The following is an 18,062-nucleotide window of genomic DNA, read 5'->3' as shown; positions in this document are numbered from 1 at the left end:
CGTATTAGTTCTCCCTGTGTCTGAGGTCTGCGGGGATGCAAACTTGAAAGACGCTTCGACTCCATGGGGCAAATGTGTCTCATCTTCATCAGCTTCTAGGAGGGAGTCTCAGACCAGCGGAGCCGGTGCCTGGGGTGGGCAAGTGTCGCCTGGCTCTAGGATCAGAGGAGTGGCCTTGGGGGCCAGCACTTCATGGCTACATCACCATACGCCATGTGGCAGGCCTGGGTCAGGGGACCATAGCCCCTGCCCCAGTGTTCTTTTCCCAACTCCTCCTCCTCTTCTTTTCCCTCACCTGTCCTGCCTTCCACCTCCCTGGTCTGGCTCTTTCTGCCCAGTGGGGACCTTTCTCTCCACACTTAATGGAGCAGCACCAGGCATAGTGTTGGGGGTGAACTCAGGACAGACTTATTACCATAATTCTGAATTTCCTAGGTTTTGTCAGTGTAAGCCAGATGCTTAATGCTATTTTAATGCAGTTGTTTTGCGTGTGAATAATATGCTCATTTTGCCAAACCTCAAGCCCTGGAACTAAGATCTCATAAAAATGCCTAGAGTCCAAAGCTAATAGCTGTTATTCAGCTGTTACAGGGTAAGGCCTAAAATGTTTCAGATGGATGTTCTCACCAGGGCAGCGAGTGACATGCACCTTCGAGGGGTGGCTGAGGCTCTAGATGCTTGAGGAGTAGGAAGAGCTGTGCTCCATCAGGCCGTTCCAGTTTGCCCCTCCACATGGAGGTCTCTGGTATAGAGATTTAAAGTTTATTCTTTCCTCATTCCCTAGAGACAGCTTTCTCTTTTGTGGTCCTCTACTCAGCGAATACCCTCACCTCCAACCCAAGCTGAAAGTCTTGGAAGTCATCTTTGACACTGGGCCCCATCCCCCAGTCTGCATCCCCCCACCATTTTCATCATATATATCCAATCACCACCAACATTTATTCAACAAGTATTTATCAAGGCCCTATTATGTGCCAGGTCCTCTTGTGAGTGTGATGATAAAAGGACCACCTCCTCATAAGAGGCAGTGTAGGGTCATGGTTAAGAGTACGAACTGTGGCCCAGAGCAGTGGCTCATGCCTATAACCCCAAAACTTCGGGAGGCAGAGGTTGGGGGATGGCTTGAGCCCAGGAGCTCAAGATCACCCTGGGCAACATAGGGAGACTCTGTCTCTACAAAAATTTTCTTAAAAATTGGCTGGGCATGATGGCATGGGCCTATGTCCCAGCTACTAGAGAAGCTGAGGTGGGAGGACCACTTGGGCCCAGGAGGTGGAGGCTGCAGTGAGCCAAGATCATGCCACTGCACTCCAGCACTCCAGCATAGGCAACAGAGTGAGACTCTGTCTCCAAAAAAAAAAAAAAAAAAAGAAAAAAAAAAAAAGAGTATTAACTGTGAAGCCAGACAGCCAGATTCACATCCTGGCACTGTCATCTGTTAACTCTGTGACCTTGTCCTCCCATTGTACAATGGATTAATAACAGTGCCTCCCGGTACCTCCTTCATAGTTACTTTCTGGCACATAATGAATTAGCATTTCTAATGCACTCAGTGCCTGGCATATGGTAAATACCATGCAAGTATTTGAAGAATAAAAAATAGGAGGAGGACATGAGTGTCAAACTGGCACACAGACATGGAGAAGCCCTGGGAGCTCTGAGATGCCTGGGCTGGGATCTGCAGGACCAGTAGGCAGCAAAGTCCCGTGAGCTCCATCTCCTGCTAGTCTCCTAGCTCAGGCCACTGCCATCTCTCATCTGGAGCACAGAGGTGCCCCTCTAAGTGGTCTTCCTTCCTTCTCCTCCTCTCCAGGCTCAGCCAGCAGGGCTTCTCTAAAATGTAATCTGATCATGTCATTTCCTAAACGACATTCTTCAGTGGCTCCCGAGTGCCCTCGGGTTTCTGCCATACTCCTCAGTGGGCTTACTGGGTCTGCATCATTCTTCTTCCAGTGTCTCTTCATTACTCTTTTCCTCCTCTCCTTAATGTCTGGGACACACTTGCACATGCTATTACTTCAACCCCACAGAATTGCTGTTGTCTCTGTCCCCACTGGCCTTGGTACTTTGAGTTGCCTCCACCTGGAAGATCCGTCTGCTCCACCCCACCTTTTCCCTGGTAAACTCCTATCTTCCTTCAGACTTCAGGCTTTTGACCTGACTTGCTCAGGGCGACCTCCCCTGGTCTCCACTGTGAGGTTCTTTGCTTCTCCTCTGTTCTCCCACGGTCCCTCTCAGGGCCCTATCACAGCATATTGGTTACTTTTTTATTGTGTCATTTTTCTCTTTACTCTCAAATAACATGAAGGAGAGTAGCAACTGTCTTTCTTGTTCAAAAGTGTATCCCCGGAGCTTGGCACAGTGCCTGGCATGCAGTAGACTTATAGTACATATGTTATGGGTTGAATTGTGTCCCCCCAGCAAATTTATATGTTGAAGTCTCAATCCCCAGTACCCCACAATGTGGCCTGATTTGGAAATAGGGGTGTTGCAGATAGAGTTAGTTAAGATGAGGTCATACTGGAATAGGGTAGGCCCCTGATTGAATATGACTGGTGTTTATAAGAACACCATGGCCAGGCGTGGTGGCTCACACCTGTTATCTCAGCACTTTGGGAGGCCGAGGCAGGTGGATCATGAGGTCAAGAGATCAAGACCGTCCTGGCCAACATGGTGAAACCCTGTCTCTAATAAAAACACAAAAATTAGCCAGGCATGGTGGCATGAGCCTGTAGTCCCAGATACTCGGGAGGCTGAGGCAGGAGAATCACTTGAATCCAGGAGGCGGAGGTTGCAGTGAGCCGAGATTGCACCACCGCACCCCAGCCTGGTAACAGAGCAAGACTCTGCCTAAAAAAACAAAACAAAACAGAACAAAACACCATATGAAAATATAAAGACACACACATACATGGAAGGTGATGTGAAGATATACTGGGAGAAGATAGCTGTTAGGCTGTTCTTGCACTGCAATGAAGGAATACCTGAGGCTGGGTAATTTATAAAGAAAAGAGGTTTAATTAGCTTATGTTTTGCAGGCTGTACAGGAAGCATAGCACTAGCATCAGCTCAGCTTCTGAGGAGGCTTCAGGAAGCTTCCAATCATGGCAGAAGGTGACGTAGGAGCAGAAATCTCACGTGGCAAAAGCAGGAGCAAGGGGGTGAGAAGTGCCACACACTTTTAAACAACCAGATCTTGTGAGACCTTACTATGGTGAGAACAGCACTAAGCCATGAGGGATCTACCCCTGTGGCCCAAACAGCTCCCACTAGGCCCACCTCCAATACTGGGGATTACATTTCAATGTGAGATTTGGGTGGGGACAGATATCTAAAGTATATCAATAGCCATCTACAAGCCAAAGAGAGAGTCCTGAAATAGACCCTTCCCTCACAGCCCTCAGAAGAAACTATCCCTGCTGACACCTTGATCTTGGACTGCTTACCTCTAGAACTGTGAAACAAATTTGTATTGTTTAAGCCATCCAATGTATGGAACTTTGTTATGGCAGCCCTAGCAAACTAATATTACATGTTTCTTCAAAGACTGGATTTCCGACTCTTTTAAATGTGCTCCTATAAGTAAAGACTTAGCACATGCACAAATATACCCCAAACAGCTCCATATTCCACAAATAGATGGACTCACAAGAATGGCAAGCGCAGGTGGCTGTTAGTCATCGCAGCAAGCCGCCAGTTTTAACTTCCAACGACCCCCTCTCCCTGGGTATTCCAGGAACTTCACCCGAGTGGGCAGGGGAGGTGCACCTCTCTGCAAGCCCCCATAGCAGGGGGAACATGAGCTGGTGGGCCAGCAGGTGCTTGTTTTTCCCTCCCAGTCAGGAGAAGCAACTGAGAAAAAGCCAGAAGAGATGGGGGTGGGACAGAGCAAAGATCAAGGAAGAAGAGAAATAAGAGCAGGAATGCGGAGCCAGTGTGTGTTCTTTCGGCCTCCAGAACCACACCATAGGATGTCAGGTTAGGTTGTACAGAAGCCAAGATGTCAGGCGGGAATTTCCACCCTTCTTAAAAAAAGTTCTCCTCCTCCATTTGATTGCAGCCTCTAATAAGCAATTCTTCCAAATTTCTTCTGACTTCAGAAGTTCAGAGTATGTTGAGCTGAAGAAACACCAGGATCATAATTATGGTTATTATAGGGAGCTGTGTGCCCATCACCACAGCATCTGGCTGTAATCACATACTTAATGGAAGGCGAGATGATCTGTTGCTCATAATGGGCAGTTTCTGAGCCAGGCAGCCACCAAGTGCCCACCCTCCCACTTGGAGGCCCAACAGAACAGATGTTTGTAGAAAGAAGAGATGCTTATGTCTGTCTGGAGGGCCAGTGACTTCAGAAACAGTGTCAGGGAAAGCAAGTTCCGTAACTGGGTCATGGCACATGTATGGCTCAGACCAGCCAGTAAGGATGAGAAGCGGGCTTTCCCTCCACTCTGGGTGGCAGGGAAGGGGTAGAGTGGGGCTGATCTCATTGTCCTCTCACAGATGGTGAAGTAGAAAGCTGACTGTGGGGTGTGAACCATCATTTATTCCCATCAGTATCAAGTACCTTGCCTCATTCTTCAGCAACTGAGATGCCCAACACACTGAAAGGGCAGAGGGAAAATCCCTCTAGCCAAACAAATCCTTTGAAGCGTGATTATCTTAGTCTGCTCAAGCTGCCATTACAAAATACCACAGACTAGGTGGTTTAAGGAGCAGAAATTGATTTATCACAGTTCTGGAGGCTGAGGAGTCCAAGGTCAAGGTGCCAGCAGATGCGGTGAGGACCCCTTTCCTGTCTTGCAGATGATCACCTTCAGCATCTTCTGCTGTGTTCTTATATAGCAGAAAGAGGAGGCTCAGGTGTCCCTTCCTCTTACAGGAGCACTAATATCATCATGGGGGCTCCACCCTCTTGACACATCCTAACCTAATCACTCCCACAGGCCCCACCTCCTAGTATCATCATACTGGGGATTAGGGCTTTGACATATGAATTTTATGGGGATGCAAATGTGCAGTGCACAATAATTAAACTTTTTCTGTAATTTGTGTGTGTGTATGTGTGCATGCCCATGCCATCCACTTCTTTTTTCAGACTTCAGGTTGGAGAGCTGAGAAACCTGGTGCCTGAGCAGGCCTCATTCCCTACAGAGAGGGCCTCTGACCCCCTCAGGCCTCACCCTGTCTGAATCTACAGACCACAGTGCTTACCTTGTGCCCTGCACTTGCTGCACGAGGTCTTGACTATAGTAGAGTCAGCTCATTCATCAGTGAAGCCCTTAAGATTGGCACTATTAGAAATCCTGAAGCCATGTGATTCTACTGTGCCACATATTCCGGGTACTTTAGTCAACATCCTTAAACATAAAACCCTACAGTCATCTAACCTCTCTTGGATGACCATGCCCACAGTTTCTATACTTCTCCCTTATTCCAGTCTTCTGCTGTTGCTTGCCTTCTATAGTTCCAATGAAAATAAACTTCCTTATTTCCTTAGGCAGTTTTATATCCAAAAATCTTCTGTGTGTCCCCAAAGGCATCTCAAACTCAACATGGCCAACAGGGAATTTAAAATTTCCTTTTCATAAGAATTTATTTTTGCACATTTAAAAAATTATAATTTTCAGGGCATGTAAGAAAAATATTTTTTGAAATAAGCATACCTTTGATATAGAAATCATACTATATGTGTGATCTCTAACTAAAAAAATTAATCAAGAACTATGACCTCATATGCTGAACAAGACTATTTGCCCGTCCATCTGTCCTTTTTCATAGCCCCATTGTGGGGCTTTAGGATATACTTCTGTACACATCTCCATATCTACAAAGAATTAAGATGCTATATCAAAGATATCCAGAAGTTATATTTGGTAGAGAATTAATTGGCTTAATTGCTGATGCATAACACAGACCACTAAAAAGCAACATGAGATATAGGACAAGCAAAATAGAACATTGTCACTAAGGTCAGATAATGGAAAGACAATCACATCCTTTAAATTAGATGCATTGAAAACAAAGTCACTTCTTCAGAATAATTACATAAACAACTTGCAAAACTCCAAAAGTAATAGCACAGAGCAATGATTTTAATAAGGCACTTTAAAGACAGCAATCAAACATATAAAAATACCAAATATAAAAAATATTAAAAGCGGTAACCATAGAACTAAACAGGGAAAAATATTGTATTAACCTGTTCTCATATTGCTATAAAGAAATATCTGAGACTGGGTAACTTATAAAGAAAAGAGGTTTCATTGGCTCATGGTTCTGCAGGCAGTACAGGAAGCATGAGGCTGCTTGGCTTCGGTGGGGGGGCCTCAGGAAAGTTTCAATCATGGTGGAAAGCAAAGGGGAAGCAAGCGTCTTCACATGACCAGAGTAGAAGGAAGAGAGAGATAGGAGAGGTGCCACAAACTTTTAAACAACCAGATCTTGTGAGAACCCACTCACTATAGAGTACCATGGGGGGATGGTGCTAAGCCATTCATGAAAACTCCACCCCCATGATCCAGTCACCTCCTACTAGGCCCCACTTCCAACATTGGGGGTTACAATTGACCATGCTATTTGGGTGGGACACAGATCCAAACCATATCAAATATGCATTCCTGGCCTGGCGCGGTGGCTTATGCCTGTAATCCCAGCACTTTGGGAGGCCGAGGCAGGTGGATCACCAGGTCAAGAGATCAGGATCATCCTGGCCAAAATGGTGAAACCTCGTCTCTACTACAAATACAACAATTAGCTGGGCATGGTGGCACGCACCTGTAGTCCCAGCTACTTGGGAGGCTGAGGCAGGAGAATCGCTTGAACCCAAGAGGCGGAGGTTGCAGTGAGCCGAGATCATGCCATTGCACCACTCCAGCCTGGTGAGACAGAGTGAGGCTCTGTCTCAAAAAAAAAAAAAAAAAAAGATTTCCTTCTAGACAGTCTTTTATTTTCTGAAGTAAAGACTTTAAAAAAATTATATAAGGGCAAAAAATATTTATCATATATTTTTTAAAGCTACCATCAAAGTTCAAGTTTCCATAAAAAAGAGAATATTTTCCTTCAAGTCAATGAAGTTCTGATTTATACATTTTTTTAGAGAAACAATTATAGTCTTCATGCTAAGTATAGGAAAAAAAATAGCATTTAATTATGTTTGTCAACTTTTTTATTCAACATACATTTAGTGAGTGTTGTGTGACACTGTTTCAGATGCTGAGGACAGAGAAGTAAATAAGACACAGTCATTGGTTCTAGAGAACTTAGCCTAATAGAGGTGGATCTACCATTGGCAATCTTAAAGTTATCTCCCTTGGTCCATAAGATTAAACTCTACTTCAAACTCTGGCATGCTTGGCATCTTGTTACAAAACAAATAATAGTGTACCTAGTTTGTTGCTTATAGCACCATGGCACTATTAATATTAACTATCTACTGATTAAATTAACTCTCATAAAGGATTCTATAAAAGCTTAGAGGGCAGAATGTATTTAAGGATAAACAAGTACTAGTCAGCTTCAAAAACAGCATCAGAATTCTGCTTTCTCAAAAGTCAAGAAAACCAAGAAAAAATTCATTCTGATTATACATAAAAATGCTGGAAAGAGATCATCCTATACATTTTGCACGTGTGCAAATATCATATATGAGGAAGTATGAATTATTGCACCGTCGTTATTAAACAATGAAGCATGCCAAATCAGCTGTCAGGTTTTGAGGAAGAATCATAGCCCTCTTTCAAGAGTTCCCACCACGTTTTCAGGAAACGTGCATTTTCTGTAGACAAGCCGAAGGCAAACTCTTCCACTTGAGCTGATACTGCAAATGGGGCTTCAAGAAGTTTCGTTCATAGTGCTCTTCTCAATAGGAAAGACACGTAATCAACTTAGATGCCTATCAATGGTGGACTCGATAAAAAAAATGTGGTACATATATACCATGGAATACCACACAGCCATAAAAAGGAATGAAATCATGGCCTTTGCAGAAACATGGATGCAGCTGGCTGCCATTATCCTAAGTCTATAATCCTAAGTGAATTAAAGCAGAAACAGAAAACCACATACCACATGTTCTTACTTAGAAGTGGGAACAAAATATTGAGTACACATGGACATAAAGAAGGGAACAATAGATCTGGGGCCTATTTAAGGGTGAAGGTGGGTGAGAGGAGAGTGAGGACTGAAAAACCACCTATCAGGTATTAGGCTGATTACCTGGGTGACAAAATTATCTGAGTGACTCAAATGCCCACAACATGCAATTTATCAAACAAACCTGAACATGGACCCCTTGAACCTAAAAGGAAAGTTGAAAACAAAAAAGTGTGGTTAATGAGAATGCATCTCCAATCTGCAGCTGCTGTTCCTCCAGTGGATCCACCATTTGGCTGCTGTCCCTGCTTGGAACTGGCCAGCTCAAATTCACGGGAGCGCTCAGGGAAGATGCCGAAGAGAAGTCTGAAGTTAAGGGAGAAAAGGAAGGCAGCAGGGGTGGTAAAGAAACTTGCAACTCCTCAGGGTCAGCCATGGGGAAGGGTTGGGATGGCAGAGCCAACCAGAGCAGCCAAACCAACACTAACTCTCTTTCAACTACTTGCCAGCAGTGAGCTTTTAATATCCCTTTGCCCACCCTACCACCTGTGAAACTGTGTCTCTACCATTGGCTAGTTCAGTTGGTAACACCACCACCTACTTACCTGACTTATCCTCCTCCCTCACTCAACATCCTACCTACCTATCAAGTCCTGCAGGGTTTACTCTCAAAATACTGCGTATGTCGAAATATAAGGGAACCTGGCATTCAGAGTAGAGCCCCGTGGTGTTTTTTTTTTTTTCCAGTTAGAAGATCCTCTCCATAAATCTCAACATTTTTTGAGGGGAGCTAATTTAATTGATAGATAGTCAAATGTCTACCTAGCTATATTTAAATTATTAATTTAGCTATACATGCATGCTTAAAATATAAGATACTAATTTAGAATTTAATATCATCACTCACATTTCATCAAACAGTTCCATTTAAATTCCTTATGTGTAATTTTGACGGCAGGGGCTTTGTCATCTCTGGAACCTCCTGTAGAATTAATACTGTTTTCTAGAGCAAATCGTGGTCAGTTCTGTGGTGTTTAAGACACTGTATTTTTGGAGTCCAGATGTGATTGTGTCTCTGGAAATATTTTCAAAAGTCACAAGAACCCATAGAACAGCTGTTTTTTCAGCTGTAAACTGTAAGCCTCACTATGTAATTACTTATATCTTCATTTTAAAGTCATCTTTCAAACATTTGTTTATAACACCATCCAGTACTTGCATTGGTGAGGTCATAATCTTAGGGAAAATATTTCTTAAAGTCCTACTTTTTTTCTTGTCAGTTTCCAAATGATTTCAGTAAGAACCTCCTATGTTCAGCATTCTTTTATGTATCAGGCTAGGAAAATAGTAATTTGCCGCTAATTGAAGAGATCCTAAGAATCGATATTGAAGAGTTCAGGTCTCCCTTCATTCCCCTTAGAGCAGGCTTTCTAGAACCCTGGCCCAGGGATGTTTAAGTATCAGAGGGAGCTCTCCCTTCAGATGAGCTGATTCACTGGGGTCCAGGGCCCAGGCTCTAAGCTGGACTTCAGTTGAAATCACTATGTGCCAGAAATGTCTCACCCCAGCTCTAGCCTGGCTGGACTGTGCTTCTCTTCAAACAGGGCTTCCTGTCTCAAGACCTTGGCATGATCCTCTTCCTCCTGCTAGATGCTGTTCTCTCTCACTCCCCATGTTTCCATATTTCAACCTACTTGTCCATTGCAGTTCAGCTTCTAAAACGATCCCAAATCCTGGTTAGCCATTTCACACTTTGGATGAGAAGATATGAATAATTCAGCCCAGTCCATCACTATCGTAAAAGCAGCTGAAGATCAAGTTCCATCAAGGTGGAGCCAACAACATCTTTCCTTACATTTTCAGAGGAAAGCAAGCATATCTTTAGAATAGTGATGAAACCTGCCATGCAGGCCTCTGAACATTCTCTTGTGTATTTTCTGTGGCCCATTATGGTAATTTCATCTCCTCTTTACCTTTTTTTGTAACTGGGTGATTATACTGCCAGTCCCTGGGTACTATAATTTGCATTGCAATATGAGGCTTCCATTTAATGCTTGCAAATTATGGGACCAGGGCTGAAACTCCAACGTGGGAGTTGCTTCCACATAAGTCAGAAGAAGTTACATATACATGAGTGTGGCTCTGGGAATAAAGAACTTCTTTTCGTAATCACAATTTAATATTTAAAAATAAAATCTCAGTTAACAGAAAAATAATAGGAGCGGGATTACCATAAAAGGCAGAGGAGAACTGAAGTGAAGTACTCTCATGAAAGTTTCGTAAAATACCACCACACACATATTACACACTTGGGAGAAATCCCATAAAAGTTCTACACAGGAAGAGGCAATGTTCTTTCTGCCGCCCTTCCATTTCAGCAAGGATTTGTTCTGAATTCTGAAGTCCCTACAGGTGAGTGCTCACAGGCATTGCAGCATTTCAAAGGAAAGAAGTTACTATCACTGGCCTGGGAAGATGGGGAAGAGGAATGAGCTCTATCCCGGGAAATCACAGGTGACTGCTATCAGAGGACAAGGATTTTCATATAGATGTGTTCTAATTCTGGTATTTCTAGAAGACATAGTTTTTTTGTTTTTGTTTTTGTTTTTTGTGATCTCAAATTCAGGGGAAAGCATGGTGTTTTGAAGGAAGACAATTTTCCTAGAGGTAAGAAGACCTGGGATCTAGTCTCATTTCACCTCCTAACTATCAAGTAACCCCTTAGTAAGACCTTGGCTTTGTTATCTATTTATTATGGAGATTGAATGACAATATCTTGAACATTTAATGCTCTAGTCCGGCTACCTAGTGCTTATTGGTTTGTGAAGACTAGTGTAGCAGATTCATAGTCTATAGCCACCAGGGCAAAATCTTTATCTGAAGTGTGTTACTCCAGCATTGAGCTAAATAAAGGAGTTAGTGGGACACCGGATCTGGAGCCTGAGAGTTGGCTTGTCTCTGATTTGTTGGTCTGGCAAAATGTATTCTATTCTGCACAACTATCTGCCATGGAGTTAATTTTTCTGTGGAAGATGTGCACACAGGTGTATGTGTGTGAGGGAGAGAGAGAGACAGAGAAAGACACACAGAGAGAGAGAGAGAGAGAGAGAGAGAGAGCCAGCTATGCTTCAAGAAGTGCAAAGTTAAAATACATGGAATTAACAAAACCAAGGACAGAGAGGTGAAAATGAAAATGAGACAGTCCTGAGCCAGATTCTGTTAGAAAAATAGCAACAGAAAAGTACCAGTACTTATAAATAACGCTGAAATAATGCTTTGTTCTCTGCAGTTTAGCTATATGTCTGTATTTAAATAAGATTTTTTTAACTTCCCACAGTACACTGATGTATAAATAAGATTTATACAGAGTAAAGCAATTTCAGGTTCTAGGAAATTCCTTAAGTAAAATTATTTATTTAAAAATATTCATATTAGATATGATAAACATTTTCCACTTTTCAATTAAGGTCTGCTTATTTCAAGAAATATCTAATACAATAAACCAAGATACAAATTTCAAGGCTGCTACCCTACAACAGAAAGATACAGATGTTCTTTTGCGCTTTATTGTTATAAAATTGGACACATATGGAATTGTTCATAATTGTTCCCATAGTAGGAAAAATGCATAGTGACAATTATGAACCTAAATCTCTTTTTCTAGTCATTTGACCTATTTGGAGGCAGCATGGTAGAATGCAAAGAATAAAAGCTTTGTCAATCGTGGGCTCAAATCCCAGCATTGCCACTTCTTGTATGATCTCGAGCGAGTTCCATAATCTATCTAAGCTTCAGGTTCCTCTCCTATAAAAAAAAAAAGATGGTATTTTAGGAGATGGTTTTGAAAATTAGAGATGACGTATTTAAGTACACAGCAACTGGCACTTGATAGGAACTTTATGATAGCAGCTGTTTGCAATGGACTGAACGTTTGTGTCTCCTCAAAATTTTATGTTGAAACCCTAATCCCAATGTGATAGTATTTGAAGATCGAGCCATTGGAAGGTGATTAGGTCATGAGGGTGGAGCCCTCATGAATGGGATTAGTGCCCTTATAAGAAAAGGCCAGAGAGCTAGCTAGCTTTCTTTCCACCATGTGAAGACACAGCAAGAAGTCAATAGTCTGCCACTCAGAAGAGGACCCTCACCAGAACCTGACCATGCTAGCAGCTTGATCTTGGACTTCCAGCCTCCAGAACTGTAAGAAATGTTTCTGTTGTTCATAGTCCACCCAGCCTATGGCACTTTATTATAGCAGCCTGAGCTGACTAAGACACTATTGTTATTCCATTCCATTGACCTGGCCTGTTGCAACACTCCCAGCTACATGTCTACGTGTAGGATGAGAAAGAACTAGTATATCCACAATGTGGACATGAAAATAAGTTCTCTCTTCATTGAGATGGAGGGTCATGGAGGAAGTCCTGCTAATATGGATATACATGAAAACTACTCTCTGGCAGTCACCCCTGATTTTCCATGCTCACAGTGACGCGCATAGAATGGGCTCTCTCATTCTCATCCTAGACGCACCATCATTATAAACATTTGTGCTCCCATTGGAAGTTCCAATTTTTTGTGCTCTCATTGGAAGGTCTAATGACCACTTCTGAACGAGATTCTTACCTGCATGAGTTGGGAAGCTGAGCCAGAGGTGTCTAGGATCACTTCCAGCCGCAAACAGAATTTAAGGAGAACCTAATCTGGAAGAAGCGTTAAGGAAAAGTGCAAACACAAAAAGCTTGGCAGCTGAAAAGAAGTCCTGTCACTCCAACAGCTTCTCATCATTTAAAAAGAACACACACACACACACACACACACACACACACACACACAGAGAGAAATGCAAATGTCTGAGGGTGGTCTGTGCAGATCTAGCCCCTGACTGCAACATTTCCCACAATTTTCTCCTCACTCTGCCTTGGCTGCCCTGGTCTAGCTTCAGGCCTGCACTCCTGTTCTCTCTGCCTGGAAAGCTCTTCTCCCTGATCTTTGCGTGGCTCAGACCCTCATTATGCACAGGTATCTGCTCGAAGAGAAGGCCTTCCTGACCCTCTCTGGGTAAGAGAGTGCCCGCCCCATCTTTCTCTTCCTCCATCCCGCATTTTTTTCCTTCTTTCCCTTCCTTCCTTTCCCTAACCACTACCCTGCTTTCTTATTTTTTTTTCTTCATTGCACTTAACGCGACTGGAAAATTATTTATTCACTTTTTCTTGTTTTCTTATGTCTGTCTTTAACACTAGAATTTAAGTATCATTAGAGCGAGGGATTTGTACTTACATTGCCGGTATGCAGTAGGCACTCACTCAGGATTTGCAACATGAATGAATAAATAAACAGAGAAGCAGGAGACTGGATTGTCTCTTTGAGTAGATAATGACTTTCCAACTCCATGATTCTGCAAGTATTTTCCAAATGCAATTAGATTGGGAGTATTAATGAATTTCTGTTTTCAGTTTACACAAGGTCATGACTATTTAAACCAGTTCCTATTTAGTAGCTATTCAAGTAACTAATTCAAGTAACAGTAAGTAATTCAAGTGACTGTACTCAAAGTTAAGCCAGTGAATCTTTAGGTTGGATGTGAAATCTGCCATACAGGTCTCTGAGTATTCTCTTGTGTGTGATCTGTGGCCCATTACATAATTGGACAAGTCTTAAAACTACAGAAGTGTTTGGGTTCTCCACTACCACAAAACCAACAGTACTGTTTATAAGCAATATTTAGACCCAACACTGTTAGCTCAAGGAGGACAGGAAGCACATTTTTTTCCTCTCACCGTTTCATATTCAGAATCTAGCACAATACTGGGCACATCATTTGATGAGGAGCTTAACAAATGCCATTAAATAAATAGACATTCAACTTTTATTTCTCCTGGTGACTTTAGCATTGTAAACAGCTAATGAGACTATTGATCATGCTCTGGCCTTTGCATCTTAATACCCACCCAGTACAGTTACTAGGGTGCTGACACCCCAATCCTTTCTCCTTCCTTCTGATGAAATGGCACCTCATTCTTCTTGGTAATCATTTTCCTGCTGCCTTGGTGTTTGTTGGCCTCATTCAGTGGATGTTGCTTTTATAGCTACCTCTGTTTGTGTCTTTGTCCCTACCTGTTGCTCCTCTGGGCTTGCTGTTTGGCTGTAGCCACCACGACGGCTTCTGAAGATGAAGCATAGTTACATCACAACTCATGGACAAGGTTTTCTCAGCTCGACCCTGAGTGGGTGACAGTGTCATCCTCAGAGTAATCAGAGGTCTTTTTCAGTGTCTAACATGCAGTCTGCTCCTTCAATATGACAACACTGCCTTGAAGACCTCAGAGCACCTTACCCAAGACTGTACTAGAAGATGAAGGAAAGGCATGTGACTCTCCCTGACCCCACTTGAATATCCCCAATAGCTTACATCTTTTGATTTTCTTATCAAAAGAGAATCAAATGCTCTTGATTCTCTTATCAAAAGATGTTAAGGTAAAAACACCTTAGGATGTTTTCAAAATCTTCCCCACCTGGGACAACCTTATCTTACCCATGGATGCTGGGCAGCCCTTTTCTCCCCTTCTGGTCTGAAAAAGTCTTCTTTAGCATCCACTCCTAGTGCCTCAGGAGCACTCCTGCAAATGAGACCCTAGAGATCTGGAGTTACCAGCAGAGGCAAATTAAATCCCTACTTGAATTTTTGTTACATAATTAATTTAGTCGACCAATATCCAAAAACAGAAAAAGATAAAAGAAAAGTAGAGAGCTTTGTTATAATTTTAACAACTATTTTCCAAACCTTTCTAACTTGATATTTACTTATTTAAAAAATATGTTCAGGCTCTCCTCTCCTTAAAGGAGTAAATTTTGCTCTGTTGCCATTAGCTTTACACATCATCGAAACCCTGAAATTCCATAAAGCATCCTTAATTTTAACTTTATTTAATGTTTTTATTTTTTAGAATAAGAGTTCAATGACTGACCCCCACTGCCCTCTGAGGGTAGAGATTACCACTCCCGAATTCACAAAGTGTGTCTCAGTGAAGAACGTCTCTGTCCATCAGCAGAAGACCCAAATTTCTTATAGAAAATGGGCTTTTAACTTATTTTTTTTATGATCCAGGACCAAATATAAGATTTTATTAACATGTAGGCTAAATTTTTCATGTTCAGTATAAGCAGTGGACCTCAGGGAAAAAAAATAGAGCATATAAGCCCTAAAATGTTTTAATGAGAAAATTTTTTTATTGATGCCTAGTATGTATCTGAGAAGTGTTAAATATTGTTGATGCAAAGAAGAATGAGCCATGTTCTACACCCTTAAGGAGCACAGTCTAGTAGAACAGAAAGGCTTACTTATGTTAGGTTTAAAAAATAATCACCCTGCTGGACATAATTGATATATTTCAGACCTCTGAAGGAATGGAGAAGGTGGAGCCACTTCCTTGCCTGCTTTAGTCTGTGGTTTGGATGAGGGAGGTGGATGAGACATTGAGAACCAAGAGAGGGCATTTCTCTATCCACCCTCCCTCTCTCCCTTCTTTCTTCTTCTTCATTTTTTCTCCTCCTTGTCCTCCTCCTTTTTCCTCTCTCTCTCTTTCTCTCTTTACCTCCTGACTTCATAAAACCCCTCCACTTGCTAACATTTCCTTCTGTCTCCCCACCGATGTCTGTTCTTCATTTCCTCTCACAACTCAGTGATACGTATAGGTGAGGAAAGATGCTTCTTTGGACCTTCTGTCACCAAATGGAAATGATAATGTCCAAGTCTTTGAGTTCTTTAAAGGCATTTGCTCTCTAAAGCATTTTTACAACAGCCCTGTTCACTGAAGGCAAGTGATGCTCTGGAGTCAAGAGTATTTTCTTTTGCCGCAAGGAGCAGAGGAGGTTGTTTATTACACACTTGGAGAGGTGCCAGTATATTTGTTGAATTTATTGCAAACCTGCTTTAGGGTACGATTGCCTCATTAAACTCTGTTTTTTAATGCACAAGAAACCCAATAAGACCTGATAAGACCATCTGGACCATACTAGGGGCAATGCTAGCTATTAATACCTGCAAATTACTTACACTTTAAAATAATCCATTTCAGTCTGACTAATTAAGTCATATTTTCTCCAGGAAATAGCAGCAAAACGATGTTTTAATAGTTCGTTAACCTCCTTTTGCATCATTTGACTTGAGGCATGATAGTTTAAAAAATTTTTAGAGGATATATTTATACAAAATAATTTTAAATTATAACTGATGTTTATGTTAATAATATCAACTGTATACTGACTATCTGGTATGAGCCATTAATACACATGATGTATATTATTTTCATTTTATACACATTTCCATTTCAAACTGTATCCATGCAAGATAGGTAGTGTTCTTGCTATTTATCAAATGAAAAAAATTGAACACCAGAAAAGTTAAGTATCTTTCTCTAATTCACACAGCTAGTAAATGGCAAAGCCAAGATTTAAGTGTAGTTGTGTATATTAACACTATCGCATGTATATTTATGTCATGTAAATTATATGATAAATCATTCTCATGTTATTTTATTTTCAAAGAATTGTTGAAATTGAAATATAACCATTTTCTTTTCTATATAAAAGTAATTGTATTAATCTGTTCTCATGCTGCTAATAAAGACACACTTGAGACTGGGTAATTTATAAAGGCAAGGGGTTTAAGTGACTCACAGTTTAGCGTGGCTGGGGAGGCCTCAGGAAACTTACAATCATGGTAGAAGGGGAAGCAAACATGTCCTTCTTCACATGGCAGTGGGAAGAAGAATGAGAGCTGAGTGAAGGGGGAAGCCACCTATAAAACCATCAGATCTCATGAGAACTCACTATCACGAGAACAGCATGGGAGAAACCACCCCATGGCTCAATTATCTCCACTTTGTCCTGCCCTTGACGTGGGGATTATTGCAATTCATGGTGAGATTTGGGTTGGGACACAGAGCTAAACCATATCAGTAATATAGGCTGATTGGTGGGAGAGGAGATGACAATTGGTGATAGATGTCAACAAGTCTTTCTAGGATCAAGAAAGGAGATTAATTGGTGACTGACAGCAGAATATGGACAACTGAAATCGAACAATCTGCAGAAAGAGAATATGAAAGAAACAGTTGATGTGTGCTACAGAGCTTTGGGAAGGCTCAGAAGTAAGGACTTCCCGCAGTGGTGTGCTGGTTAAGAAACTCTCTAGCAAAACAAGAAAATCTTTGATTTGTAGTGTTTGTTGATTTCTGTGTTGCACACCCTCCCCCTATAAGCAATTTCAAGCAACCAATAGGTAATTTTTCAACCCTCTTATCCTCCCCTCTTTTGGAGCCTCCAGTGTCTATTTTTTCCATCTTTATGTCTATGTGTGCCATTGTTTAGCTTCTACTTATAAGTGAGAACATGTGGTATTTGATTATCTGTTACTGAGTTATTTCACTTATGATAATGGCCTCCAGCTCCATCTGAGTTGCTGAAAAGGACATTATTTATTCTTTTTCTATGGTTGCATAGTATTCCATGATGTATAAATGCTGCATTTCCTTTACCCAATCAACTGCTGATGGACACTTATGTGATTTTGTGACTTTGCTCTTGTGAATAGTGTTACAATAAACATAGGAGTACAGGTGTCTTTTTGATATAATGATTCCTTTTCCTTTGGGTAGATACCCAGTAGTGGGATTGCTGGGTTGAAAGGTAGTTCTATTTTTAGTTCTTTGAGAAATCTCTGTACTGTTTTCCATAGGGGTTGAACGAATTTACATTCCCACCAACAGTGTGTAAGAGTTCCCTTTTCTCTGCATCCTTGCCAACATCTATTGTTTTTTTGACATTATAATACTAGGCATTCTGACTGGTGTGAGGTGGTATCTCACTGTGGTTTTAATTTGCATTTCTCTGATGCTTAGTGATGTTCAGCATTTTTTCATGTTTATTGGCAAGTTGTATGTCTGGTTAGAAGTTCTTTTAAGTAG

The 18,062-nt window shown here is 41.6% G+C and overlaps 1 long non-coding RNA gene and 1 pseudogene across 1 annotated transcript; both read right to left on the bottom strand.

Moving 5' to 3' along the window:
• C4orf46P4 (C4orf46 pseudogene 4) lies at positions 5,565 to 6,199 on the bottom strand (annotated as a pseudogene).
• Positions 6,075 to 17,495, bottom strand: LOC107986656 (uncharacterized). The gene is made up of 2 exons (XR_001744401.2): positions 12,721 to 17,495; positions 6,075 to 11,898 (listed from the first exon to the last, which is right to left on the bottom strand). It is a non-coding gene; the product is annotated as an uncharacterized LOC107986656 (long non-coding RNA).
• Between the last annotated feature and the right edge of the window lie 567 nt (positions 17,496 to 18,062).

This window comes from Homo sapiens, chromosome 6, assembly GCF_000001405.40.
Source record: "Homo sapiens chromosome 6, GRCh38.p14 Primary Assembly".
NCBI lineage: Eukaryota > Metazoa > Chordata > Mammalia > Primates > Hominidae > Homo > Homo sapiens.
The sequence above is the reverse complement of the archived record's forward strand: the minus strand, read 5'-3'. Positions and strand labels throughout refer to the sequence as shown.